Source organism: Homo sapiens, chromosome 16 (assembly GCF_000001405.40).
Source record: "Homo sapiens chromosome 16, GRCh38.p14 Primary Assembly".
Taxonomy (NCBI): Eukaryota; Metazoa; Chordata; class Mammalia; order Primates; family Hominidae; genus Homo; species Homo sapiens.
Genome location: NC_000016.10, coordinates 61777196 through 61791673, shown reverse-complemented (window position 1 = coordinate 61791673; position 14478 = coordinate 61777196). Strand labels below are relative to the sequence as shown.

The 14478-nt window shown below is 38.2% G+C and overlaps 1 protein-coding gene across 5 annotated transcripts in view; it reads left to right on the top strand.

Annotated features, from left to right (window-relative positions):
* Positions 1-14478, top strand: part of CDH8 (cadherin 8) — a 389189-nt gene that overhangs the window by 244765 nt on the left and 129946 nt on the right. For all 5 annotated transcript variants that reach the window (NM_001796.5, XM_005255760.5, XM_047433482.1 and 2 more), the window contains exon 8: positions 2192-2328. In NM_001796.5, the coding sequence (NP_001787.2) occupies positions 2192-2328 (137 nt within the window). The remainder of the gene's footprint in view (positions 1-2191; positions 2329-14478) is intronic.

Genomic DNA, 14478 nt, shown 5'->3' with positions numbered 1-14478 from the left:
ATGTGTTTCTGATTTGGGATTCATGAGTATCAGTGATCAGACTGATTCTTGTTTACTGTGGCCTCTGGGAAATTGGTTGACGCATGGATGTGTGAAATATCAGCAGTGAGATAATAAAATTACTAGAACCAGAAATGCCTGCAAAGTTATTTATGAATATAATGCAGAAAGTGATAATTAATCCTCTGGACATTTTTTAGCTTTTTTAAGAGTCAGAGTACACATGATATCTGAAGCAAAACACATGTCTGTTTAGTTATTTTACAGTTAAACTTGGAATATCATTGGTTGAATCAGCCATCATTATTCCCCAGGAAAATGGCTTTTGGTCTTCTTTCCATAATACAATACATTGAAACACTTTGCAATAAACACATCCTCATGTTCAGGATTTTGTTGAGAGCAATGTTAACTTACCTGTCTCTCAGTTCTTAAATTCTCTCTGAATTTCTTCAATTATCCTGGGGATTGGGGATGGGAGTGATTTGTAAATGCCTAGTGTACAGGTAAAAGTCAGTGTCTTAGTTTTTATTTGTAGTGAAGTCATTACTAAATGGGCAGTTATTATTTCATTTCATAATATATTTTTTCAAATGATTTCTCAATAAACAATTGAGAAATTAAGTCATTTTAACTATTATTCCAAATATTTTAATTATGCTTATCTTTGGTGGGCAGGATTTAACAAGAAGTTCTTTTTACAATGACTTTTGAATCTAGTATAAATGATATGCATACCTTCTCTAATGAAAAAGAAATAGCTAAAATGAGAAGGAAAAATCCATTAATATATCTATCTATACCTATCTAGCTATCTAACTAGTAACTTGCTGTATAGTTATTTATCTAGCTATCTTCATAGGTAGGTATAGGTACAAATTGGTAGATGCATATTCATATACATACATACATAATGTTTTCAATGAACTCTACTAAAATATTAACAGTGCAAAATTATAGTGGGAGGATTATGGAGAATTTATTTTTTTATAATGGCATAGTCTTATTCTTTGTCATATAATAAGTATCTATCAAGAACATGTATAAGAAATGCGCTCAGTACTAACTGGCATGGACCATGCTTCAGCTTTGAGTTTAATGAGTATCAATGAATAGAGAGATTTCATGTGCACTTCCTAAGCCATCACCTCAATCATGAAGGCCTTCTTCAGTCTTTCTTCCTGAAATGCAATTGCATATATCCTTCTTTGGGCATCCATCCTATCCTGTTTTAGTGCATCACTGCTTACTTACGGGCCAATAGTCCACCTTGTAGTCTTTAAAACTTAAAGATTATTGGGTCCAGCATTCCATAGCCAGGAAATGAATCTTGGTGTATAAAAAAGATATTAATAAATGTCGTGAGAATAATTTCTTTTCTTTGTCTTGATACTACCCTGATACTTAGTGGTCCTGAGAAGCAGTTTGCTCTAGACACCACACATCTCACGTATTTTCTTATCTGAACGAGTTTGCTTGATAAAAGAACTACTAATATGTCCCTTTGAAATTCTTAATTTAGTAGACTGTAGTGTTTAAATATGTTAAAATATCGATTCTAACTTTTAAAAAACATTAACTATAGAATAAAAAACTTTTTAAAAACAACCATAAAATCAACAACTATCCAATTTCTATGGACTGAGACTAATAGAAAACCTAAATACACACTTTACTTAAAAAGGAAATAAAACAAAACAAACGACCACCACCAACAACAAAATGAAATCCCATAAATGCAGTACAGTCAAATGAAAGTTTAACAAAATACATGTTTTATTTGAATGGACATACGTAACATGCTGCCTAGTGCCATCTTGCTTTGGGCTTGAATTCATTGTTTTATATGATATTTTGTGGCAACTGCTAATTATCATAAGCTGTCCAATAAATGTGATGGATTGTCCAATTAACTCTTCATCAGCATCCATTTTTGAAGATGCTGTCTATTGAAACTGATGGCAGTTTATGAACTACATGTTGCATATGTAGCTAATTGCTCCTTGGACAATAATTACTAAGTTTCTCGTGCCTCATTCAGTCATTTTTGTTTTATAAATTATGATGCCACTGAGTTTCCCAATTCATTTGATTTCACAAATATGGCTCTCCAAGGATTACTAAAGGTCTGCTGTGGAATGTATGGATCATATAAACATTGAAGTAGATTACAGATGTGTCTGTTTTGTAGGTTTTCCATCGACCGGCACACTGACCTGGAGAGGCAGTTCAACATTAATGCAGACGATGGGAAGATAACGCTGGCAACACCACTTGACAGAGAATTAAGTGTATGGCACAACATAACAATCATTGCTACTGAAATTAGTAAGTGCCTGGATTTGTTCATTTCTTCCTTGTGTGACTGAGTTCAATTTATGCTTATTAATAACGTGATAAGCAGCCCCTGTTTCTGTTAGGTACCTTGACATTGGAACTTATTTGATTGTTCCCAAGGAGCCTTTGAATGTATCATCTCAACACAAAATAACTTACACTGTGGTAAATTACTGAAATGTTTCAGGATATGTGAGAAGGAAACATTCTTATATCCATTATTCAGCCATTAAAAACAATGCTTTGCATTTTAAAGTAAGAGGAAAAGATTTAGTATAAAACAGTAGGTTAAAAAAATTCAAGAACTGTACACTATAATTTAAATAATTGGACACACATATACATATAGTATGGTACATACAATATAGAAACACATATTTAAATCATACACATGCATACATACATGTGGAAAATATAGATGGAAGCTTTATCAATATGTATTATTTTGGGTAGGAGAGATTATAGATAATTTTTTGTTTTTTTTAGAGTCTAATGTATTTTACACAGTAATCATAGGCTGTTTAAAATTATATCAATATCAATTCAATGTAATTTTTTTCATACATTTTGTGAAAACATTTGAGCTATTTTATTATGGGGGAGGAGAGTCTAGGGTTGTTAAAATAACTTGTTAATCTTTTTATTGACTTTTTTTTCTTCTTTGCACTTGATAAAACTATAATGGAGTCTCTAAACAATAGCTATATGGTGAAATTTGGTGCCAAACTGTCTTTAAGAGCTTACATCTACTTTATCAACTTTTATTATACAAAAAATGGAAAAGGGAGAGGATGTCCATTTTATTTCCTAGCAAAAAACATGTTGCTTATTATCTGAATAGCTTCTTTCTATAAAGGACTTTGAAGTTGTGCACAAATTCAAAGGAGACAATAAATTCCAAGAGAGTTGAGGTAAAGGGAATTTGAATAAGAAATAAAAATCAATGTTAAGAAAGATTCATGGGCACACATACCATATAGAGAAATATAGATGATAATTATAGGAAATATGCCCTAAAATTCACTCACTGTCTGGCAGCTAATGTGAAAACAGGGGAAATATCTCTGTGAAAAATGATTACTTTGTTTGTATTTAAAAAAGAGTAATCCAGGTGTTCAGGAGAAACAATGTTTTTTCTGGTTTTGTGATGTGAGGAAAATGTCCTCTACCAAGCCTTATAAAAAGAACGCTTGTGTGAAAGAGTGAAGATTCAAGAGTGAAGAATGTTTGTTTCTTTTTTTTTTTTTTATTATACTTTAAGTTTTAGGGTACATGTGCACATTGTGCAGGTTAGTTACATATGTATACATGTGCCATGCTGGTGCGCTACACCCACTAACTCGTCATCTAGCATTAGGTATATCTTCCAATGCTATCCCTCCCCCCGCCCCCCCCACCACAGTCCCCAGAGTGTGATATTCCCCTTCCTGTGTCCATGTGATCTCATTGTTCAATTCCCACCTATGAGTGAGAATATGCCGTGTTTGGTTTTTTGTTCTTGCGATAGTTTACTGAGAATGATGATTTCCAATTTCATCCATGTCCCTACAAAGGACATGAAGTCATCATTTTTTATGGCTGCATAGTATTCCATGATGTATATGTGCCACATTTTCTTAATCCAGTCTATCATTGTTGGACATTTGGGTTGGTTCCAAGTCTTTGCTATTGTGAATAATGCCGCAATAAACATACGTGTGCATGTGTCTTTATAGCAGCATGATTTATAGTCCTTTGGGTATATACCCAGTAATGGGATGGCTGGGTCAAATGGTATTTCTAGTTCTAGATCCCTGAGGAATCGCCACACTGACTTCCACAATGGTTGAACTAGTTTCCAGTCCCACCAACAGTGTAAAAGTGTTCCTATTTCTCCACATCCTCTCCAGCACCTGTTGTTTCCTGACTTTTTAATGATTGCCATTCTAACTGGTATGAGATGGTATCTCATAGTGGTTTTGATTTGCATTTCTCTGATGGCTAGTGATGATGAGCATTTTTTCATGTGTTTTTTGGCTGCATAAATGTCTTCTTTTGAGAAGTGTCTGTTCATGTCCTTTGCCCACTTTTTGATGGGGTTGTTTGTTTTTTTCTTGTAAATTTGTTTGAGTTCATTGTAGATTCCGGATATTAGCCCTTTGTCAGATGAGTAGGTTGCGAAAATTTTCTCCCAGTTTGTAGGCTGCCTGTTCACTCTGATGGTAGTTTCTTTTGCTGTGCAGAAGCTCTTTAGTTTAATTAGATCCCATTTGTCAATTTTGGCTTTTGTTGCCATTGCTTTTGGTGTTTTGGACATGAAGTCCTTGCCCATGCCTATGTCCTGAATGGTAGTGCCTAGGTTTTCTTCTAGGGTTTTTATGGTTTTAGGTCTAACGTTTAAATCTTTAATCCATCTTGAATTGATTTTTGTATAAGGTGTAAGGAAGGGATCCAGTTTCAGCTTTCTACATATGGCTAGCCAGTTTTCCCAGCACCATTTATTAAATAGGGAATCCTTTCCCCATTGCTTGTTTTTCTCAGGTTTGTCAAAGATCAGATAGTTGTAGGTAGGCGGCGTTATTTCTGAGGGCTCTGTTCTGTTGCATTGATCTATATCTCTGTTTTGGTACCAGTACCATGCTGTTTTGGTTACTGTAGCCTTGTAGTATAGTTTGAAGTCAGGTAGTGTGATGCCTCCAGCTTTGTTCTTTTGGCTTAGGATTGACTTGGCGATGCGGGCTCTTTTTTGGTTCCATATGAACTTTAAAGTAGTTTTTTCCAATTCTGTGAGGAAAGTCATTGGTAGCTTGATGGGGATGGCATTGAATCTGTAAATTACCTTGGGCAGTATGGCCATTTTCACGATATTGATTCTTCCTACCCATGAGCATGGAATGTTCTTCCATTTGTTTGTATCCTCTTTTATTTCCTTGAGCAGTGGTTTGTAGTTCTCCTTGAAGAGGTCCTTCACATCCCTTGTAAGTTGGATTCCTAGGTATTTTATTCTCTTTGAAGCAATTGTGAATGGGAGTTCACTCATGATTTGGCTCTCTGTTTGTCTGTTGTTGGTATATAAGAATGCTTGTGATTTTTGTACATTGATTTTGTATCCTGAGACTTTGCTGAAGTTGCTTATCAGCTTAAGGAGATTTTGGGCTGAGACAATGGGGTTTTCTAGATATACAATCATGTCATCTGCAAACAGGGACAATTTGACTTCCTCTTTTCCTAATTGAATACCCTTTATTTCCTTCTCCTGCCTAATTGCCCTGGCCAGAACTTCCAACACTATGTTGAATAGGAGTGGTGAGAGAGGGCATCCCTGTCTTGTGCCAGTTTTCAAAGGGAATGCTTCCAGTTTTTGCCCATTCAGTATGATATTGGCTGTGGGTTTGTCATAGATAGCTCTTATTATTTTGAAATACGTCCCATCAATACCTAATTTATTGAGAGTTTTTAGCATGAAGGGTTGTTGAATTTTGTCAAAGGCTTTTTCTGCGTCTATTGAGATAATCATGTGGTTTTTGTCTTTGGCTCTGTTTATATGCTGGATTACATTTATTGATTTGCGTATATTGAACCAGCCTTGCATCCCAGGGATGAAGCCCACTTGATCATGGTGGATAAGCTTTTTGATGTGCTGCTGGATTCGTTTTGCCAGTATTTTATTGAGGATTTTTGCATCAATGTTCATCAAGGATATTGGTCTAAAATTCTCTTTTTTGGTTGTGTCTCTGCCCGGCTTTGGTATCAGAATGATGCTGGCCTCATAAAATGAGTTAGGGAGGATTCCCTCTTTTTCTATTGATTGGAATAGTTTCAGAAGGAATGGTACCAGTTCCTCCTTGTACCTCTGGTAGAATTCGGCTGTGAATCCATCTGGTCCTGGACTCTTTTTGGTTGGTAAACTATCGATTATTGCCACAATTTCAGCTCCTTTTATTGGTCTATTCAGAGATTCAACTTCTTCCTGGTTTAGTCTTGGGAGAGTGTATGTGTCGAGGAATGTATCCATTTCTTCTAGATTTTCTAGTTTATTTGCGTAGAGGTGTTTGTAGTATTCTCTGATGGTAGTTTGTATTTCTGTGGGATCGGTGGTGATATCCCCTTTATCATTTTTTATTGTGTCTATTTGATTCTTCTCTCTTTTTTTCTTTATTAGTCTTGCTAGTGGTCTATCAATTTTGTTGATCCTTTCAAAAAACCAGCTCCTGGATTCATTGAGTTTTTGAAGGGTTTTTTGTGTCTCTATTTCCTTCAGTTCTGCTCTGATTTTAGTTATTTCTTGCCTTCTGCTAGCTTTTGAATGTGTTTGCTCTTGCTTTTCTAGTTCTTTTAATTGTGATGTTAGGGTGTGAATTTTGGATCTTTCCTGCTTTCTCTTGTGGGCATTTAGTGCTATAAATTTCCCTCTACACACTGCTTTGAATGCGTCCCAGAGATTCTGGTATGTTGTGTCTTTGTTCTAGTTGGTTTTAAAGAACATCTTTATTTCTGCCTTTATTTCATTATGTACCCAGTAGTCATTCAGGAGCAGGTTGTTCAGTTTCCATGTAGTTGAGCAGCTTTGAGTGAGATTCTTAATCCTGAGTTCTAGTTTGATTGCACTGTGGTCTGAGAGACAGTTTGTTATAATTTCTGTTCTTTTACATTTGCTGAGGAGAGCTTTACTTCCAACTATGTGGTCAATTTTGGAATAGGTGTGGTGTGGTGCTGAAAAAAATGTATATTCTGTTGATTTGGGGTGGAGAGTTCTGTAGATGTCTATTAGGTCTGCTTGGTGCAGAGCTGAGTTCAATTCCTGGGTATCCTTGTTGACTTTCTGTCTCATTGATCTGTCTAATGTTGACAGTGGGGTGTTAAAGTCTCCCATTATTAATGTGTGGGAGTCTAAGTCTCTTTGTAGGTCACTCAGGACTTGCTTCATGAATCTTGGTGCTCCTGTATTGGGTGCATATATATTTAGGATAGTTAGCTCTTCTTGTTGAATTGATCCCTTTACCATTATGTAATGGCCTTCTTTGTCTCTTTTGATCTTTGTTGGTTTAAAGTCTGTTTTATCAGATACTAGGATTGCAACCCCTGCCTTTTTTTGTTTTCCATTTGCTTGGTAGATCTTCCTCCATCCTTTTATTTTGAACCTATGTGTGTCTCTGCACGTGAGATGGGTTTCCTGAATACAGCACACTGATGGGTCTTGACTCTTTATCCAATTTGCCAGTCTGTGTCTTTTAATTGGAGAATTTAGTCCATTTACATTTAAAGTTAATATTGTTATGTGTGAATTTGATCCTGTCATTATGATGTTAGCTGGTGATTTTGCTCGTTAGTTGATGCAGTTTCTTCCTAGCCTCGATGGTCTTTACATTTTGGCATGATTTTGCAGCAGCTGGTACCGGTTGTTCCTTTCCATGTTTAGCGCTTCCTTCAGGAGCTCTTATAGGGCAGTCCTGGTGGTGACAAAATCTGTCAGCATTTGCTTGTCTGTAAAGTATTTTATTTCTCCTTCACTTATGAAGCTTAGTTTGGCTGGACATGAAATTCTGGGTTGAAAATTCTTTTCTTTAAGAATGTTGAATATTGGCCCCACTCTCTTCTGGCTTGTAGGGTTTCTGCCGAGAGATCCGCTGTTAGTCTGATGGGCTTCCCTTTGAGGGTAACCCGACCTTTCTCTCTGGCTGCCCTTAACATTTTTTCCTTCATTTCAACTTTGGTGAATCTGACAATTATGTGTCTTGGAGTTGCTCTTCTTGAGGAGTATCTTTGTGGCGTTCTCTGTATTTCCTGAATCTGAACGTTGGCCTGCCTTGCTAGATTGCGGAAGTTCTCCTGGATAATATCCTGCAGAGTGTTTTCCAACTTGGTTCCATTCTCCCCATCACTTTCAGGTACACCAATGAGATGTAGATTTGGTCTTTTCACATAGTCCCATATTTCTTGGAGGCTTTGCTCATTTCTTTTTATTCTTTTTTCTCTAACCTTCCCTTCTCGCTTCATTTCATTCATTTCATCTTCCATTGCTGATACCCTTTCTTCCAGTTGATCGCATCGGCTCCTGAGGCTTCTGCATTCTTCACGTAGTTCTCGAGCCTTGGTTTTCAGCTCCATCAGCTCCTTTAAGCACTTCTCTGTATTGGTTATTCTAGTTATACATTCTTCTAAATTTTTTTCAAAGTTTTCAACTTCTTTGCCTTTGGTTTGAATGTCCTCCCGTAGCTCAGAGTAATTTGATCGTCTGAAGCCTTCTTCTCTCAGCTCGTCAAAGTCATTCTCCATCCAGCTTTGTTCCATTGCTGGTGAGGAACTGCGTTCCTTTGGAGGAGGAGAGGCGCTCTGCGTTTTAGAGTTTCCAGTTTTTCTGTTCTGTTTTTTCCCCATCTTTGTGGTTTTATCTACTTTTGGTCTTTGATGATGGTGATGTACAGATAGGTTTTCGGTGTGGATGTCCTTTCTGTTTGTTAGTTTTCCTTCTAACACAGGACCCTCAGCTGCAGGTCTGTTGGAATACCCTGCCATGTGAGGTGTCAGTGTGCCCCTGCTGGGGGGTGCCTCCCAGTTAGGCTGCTCAGGGGTCAGGGGTCAGGGACCCACTTGAGGAGGCAGTCTGCCCGTTCTCAGATCTCCAGCTGCATGCTGGGAGACCCACTGCTCTCTTCAAAGCTGTCAGACAGGGACATTTAAGTCTGCAGAGGTTACTGCTGTCTTTTTGTTTGTCTGTGCCCTGCCCCCAGAGGTGGAGCCTACAGAGGCAGGCAGGCCTCCTTGAGCTGTGGTGGGCTCCACCCAGTTCGAGCTTCCTGGCTGCTTTGTTTACCTAAGCAAGCCTGGGCAATGGCGGGCGCCCCTCCCCCAGCCTCGCTGCTGCCTTGCAGTTTGATCTCAGACTGCTGTGCTAGCAATCAGCGAGACTCCGTGGGCGTAGGACCCTCCGAGCCAGGTGTGGGATATAGTCTCGTGGTGCGCCGTTTTTTAAGCCGGTCTGAAAAGCGCAATATTCGGGTTGGAGTGACCCGATTTTCCAGGTGCGTCCGTCACCCCTTTCTTTGACTCGGAAAGGGAACTCCCTGACCCCTTGTGCTTCCCAGGTGAGGCAATGCCTCGCCCTGCTTCGGCTCGCGGACGGTGCGCGCACCCACTGGCCTGCGCCCACTGTCTGGCACTCCCTAGTGAGATGAACCCGGTACCTCAGATGGAAATGCAGAAATCACCCGTCTTCTGCGTCGCTCACGCTGGGAGCTGTAGACCGGAGCTGTTCCTATTCGGCCATCTTGGCTCCTCCGAATGTTTGTTTCTTATAGCAGCCTTGAGTGCAGGCAGAGAACATGCAGTCAAGTTGATATGTAGTTTCAACACTGCCAAACTCTGGCTCTGGATAGAAACAGAGCTTTGGAAACTTTGCTGTTTCCCCTGCCTTAGGAGTACTATTTTCTTCCCTAGTGTCTTACCATCACGGCAGTTTCTCCTTGTAACATGAAGAGAAGAAGCAAATAAAGCATGCCATTTGGTGATTTTGGTTTGTTAGAAGTGTTAACCTCATTTAGAAAGATGTAAACATAATTTTTTTAGTAATTTACCATGTTGAAGCCTGATTATCACCTTAAGCCTCTCAGAAAAGTTGTATCTATTTAGATGACTTAAGGCTTTATAAAAAGCTCAAAAAAATCCAGTCTTCTTTAATGTGGATAGTCAATAATTATAAAGAATTTTCACATATACTGAAAACAATCTAGTAGAGTTAAACTTAATTCATGTTACCTTTGAGATAGATCTCTCTCTTTTGCCCAGGCACTATATCATAGCTCACTCCACCCTGGGCTCAAGTGATCCTCCTGCTTTAGACTCCCTAGCATCTGGGCCTACAGGCACAAGCCATCATGCCTGGCTAATTGTAGTTTTTTTTGTTTTTGTTTTTGGTTTTGGTTTTTTTTTTAGAAACAGGGTCTCACCATGTTGCCCAGGCTAGTCTTTAACTCCTCACCTCCACTGATCCTCCTGCTGGGATTACAAACAGGATCCACAACCAAGGCCCATGCCACCTTTTTAAAATAAGATAGACTCCTTTACTTAAATATCCATCAAGGTTTATGAGTTATCAGCAAAATGTACTCAAAGCAATGAATACACAGAGCTTGGCTTAAGAAACATTTCAGGACAATCCAGAAACAAAAGACTCATTTTTGAGAAATCCCACACAAGTAAGAAAAACAGATACAAAAATAGATGCTCCAGGGCATTGAGCTGTTAGCTGCAGGGTGACAAGGCTACCAAGCTCAGTCAGGGAAGATGTTCATGCACAGGTGCATTTTGGCCAAGAAACAAGCTGAATTCATGTCAAACATCTTAAGAAATATTAGACTGCAAACTTAAAAATCTGTCTTTGTTTGAATTTTTGCAGATTTCTTTCTTAGAACAAACAAGGATGAGAATACAAAAGAGAGCTTTAAATTTTAGTTGTAAAATACTAGCTGGGGTGGCATAAATTTGAGAACTTTAAGTGTACAATTAAACCATCTATTTTCTTAATCATAAAGGGAAGTGGAAATCATAAGATCACAGAGAAATTAAAAAAATTGAAATTACTATGAACATAGCTTAGAAACTTGTTTTGACTTGATTTGATTATTTAGCCCATCACATGATGTTTATTTTCCAAAGCCACAGACCATGTCTTGGGGAAAAAAATTAAAAGGAGATTTATAGAATTTGTCTGAGATGAATATTTAAAACCATTCAGAATAGCAGAACCCCATAGGGGGAGGTTCTAATAATGATAAAGAAATAGTCATTCCAGGGAGAACAATTTAAAATGACTCTCAGAATGCTATCTCATCAGATAAAAGATTTAAACAAATGAAATTAGGCTAAAAAGTGGATTTTAGCAAAGTCCATCTGTTATCTCTTAATGAGAATGGAGATGTCATTCTTTATCCTCTTGTGTCAGATTCACTTAACCGAGGCTGAGATGCTTCACTGTGTTTATTACCCAAGTATTTCAGTGGTAGTGGATCTAACATGTTATCCTGATCAACTGGCACATCTTATCACATGAGCTGGCAGGCAGATGTCCATGTGCTAACAAGAGATTAGGCTTGTATAGTATATCTCTGCTAGTAGCAACCCCATTCCCTGAAACTACAGTGCATGGCTGCTATTTACCATGATGATGAAGATTTAAGGTAAATTTAGCTGAATAATGAAAACAATGAGAAAATAAACTGAAAAAAGCCCTTCGATGCTTTTAATTCTCATAACATTTGCTGAAAAGTGACTACTATTATTATAAGCATTTTCCAGGCAAAGAAACTCAGATACAGGTTAAGTAACTTGTCAAAATTTCACAGAGGGCAAGGATGAGAGTGGAGGTACAGGATCAGATCTTTGTTTAACTGCAGAATATATGTCCTTAAACACCTTCCACAGAAACCTCACTTCAATCTTCTTTCCTCTTTATCTTCTTGCTCAATTTGAGCTTCTGATACTGCTACATCATTTCTTGAATCAAGTGAACGAAACGGTTTTTCTGTGCAAAGGAGAAGGCTAGGGCAAGGACAAGGGTGAGGTGAAGGAATGAAAAAGCATGCATTTTATTATGGAGAGTAAGAATATTGCCTAATAAACATAGCAGAACTTTGGAACTTTTAAAACCAGAATCCTAATCCCATTTTATAGATTAGGAAACTGAAGAACATAGAATAGAGAACACAGCATAGTACATTTTAGAAGGCTGTTTTTCAAAGCAGACCATTGATTAGAATTGCCTAGAAAATTGTCTAAAACAAACAAACAAGGAATAGTCCAGATTTCGTTTGAGACCTATTGAATTAGAATCTCAAGGGAGAGTTTCAGGAATTTACTTCTCACAACTTCTTCCTTGTTTCCCTCACCATGCGCGCACACACACACACACACACACACACACACACACACACACATAAACGAACATTAAAATTTGACAATACTGCAAAGGGAGGCAAAGAAAGATGAGGCATTGTTGGTTTGTTTGTTCTTTTTTTTAAAATTTTCCCATGCTGATTATAGCCATAGGACAGTAAAGAATACTGAGAATGTGGGAATCAATTTGCTTAGAATAGAGTCTCTGCAGGGGCATTTTAGATGCACTGAATGCTCATTTTAAAATGTCCTTCACAGAGAACGTGATGGTGTGGAATAGAAAGTTTCAAAACTCTCTGACACTCTGTACCTGGGAGCAGACAATTGGCATGGCATTTGTAGAAAGTACATGACTATTGGTTACCTGAAAGTATTTCAAAGCAGGAAGCATATAATTGCCCGTTAAATTAATCTCTCTGAGTTAGTGATAATGCATTGCTCTGGCCCACTACAGCGGGCTGCACACATTATTGCAAATGAAGCTTTTCGCTAATGATGGCTAAATCTCCCAGGGAAAACACTAGTTTTATTGCACTTAAGGATTGTTTTTTCCTAGCATGGGGCCCAGTTGCCAGAATAATTGCTTTGTCCAACCCAGGCTACTTAGAAAAAAATATACCTTTATAGGCAGTTCATTGTTTAGAGGAATCTTGGGTTCTGGAGTTGGATGGAGTTGGAGTCCTTGCCACATTTTGGTCATATAACCTTGGGTACATTATTTCTCTTTTACTCTCAGTTTCCTCGTCTGTGAACGGAAATGATTACTCTTTAAACTTGTGGGTATAGTGAGAATGGAAATAAAAATGATAGTACTACGTCTTTTAGCAAGTAATTTACCTACAATCTTAAGAAAATGATGGAGACATAGTGTATGTTCTTCTAGTTAATAGGGCCCTTAATGGGGGCTTTGAATCACAGCTTCATTTAAAATTATTTATTTAATTTTTTGTCTGTTACCCTGCCCCTTCCCACAACAAAATATTTGGTAATTATGGCCTGTGTGTTACTTCTAGGTGCAGTTATGTTTCTGCATTGCATAGCCAATATGTTTGTTCATTGACCTTCTTCTTGCCCTTGGTTGAGGCATGGTAGATTGATCAATGGCTAAGCAACGGCCCTCATAATGAAGCAGGCACATGCTTACTAAAGACTTTAGATTTTATATCAAGATTGTGCTTCATATATATCCATCTGTCTCTATTGCCTATGACATAGAGCGAGAGCACCATAAAGATTGATAGCTATTCCCTTGTGCAGGGTGAAGGGGAGATAGTGGGAGAGAAGCTATTATTGAGTTAGATAACACCCATGGAAGAGAAGAGATGATAAGAGCCTAAAGTGGGCAGTGAAATTCAGGTACAGAGGTGGTTAAGAGGCTCCCCAAAATCACACAGGTTGCAGCAGTAAGACTGATAAGCCTGTCTGGGAATATAGTCATGTGGCAAGTTCCTATCTAGATCCCCCACTTTAGATAGGCATGCAGGTTCTCAAAGCTGGAGATCAATGTTCTTAGCAAAGAGAAATACAGTGAAGGAAAGTGAAAACTAAAATATGGAAAGTTAAAGGGAAGCTACAGATTCCTGGGGAGGGAATCAGCATCCAAAGCATGATTTCCTACAGGGAAGAATTGGGGTCCATGTCCTTCCAAGTCCAAGGAGATAAGTGATGCAGGCACAAAATGGATGTAATTCTGCGCATAGCCCATGTCAGTTTTATTCTAATCCTTGTGACTCTCTGGCTACCCCTGCAACGTAGGTAGCAGTAGATTTGACTTGGGAATTCCTCCCTGATTTTTACTTTGTTCTGCAACCATTCTACTAATTTTCTCCCACCACCTCTTCCTTTCATCTTTCCTGCCCTTGTTCCTTCCAGTCTAAGAAAGAACACGTGGATTGAGAATGGAGGAATAGATTTTAGCCAGGCATTCCTTTAGGATGTCAGTGTGATTAATAGCCTCCCAGTCCTAAGCTCAAAAATAAGAGTAGATAAGACGCACCTATACCTACATCTTGCCCTTGTCACTCTTTATAAACCACCCTCTCCAAAGCTGTAACAATAACTCTTACTGTAGACAACTATAGATAAAATATAGAAAGAAGGTAAGCAGAAAACATGAATGCTAGCTTTTCAGGTGCGAGTTGCTGCTAACTGGTAGCTCATAGCAAATGGTTATCTCCAGGTTTGTAGTACCATATTAAAGGAAGTAAGGAAGACCCTAGATATCTGAACAGATTTTAAAGGTAGGATAGTATTGGGTTGATTTACCCCTCA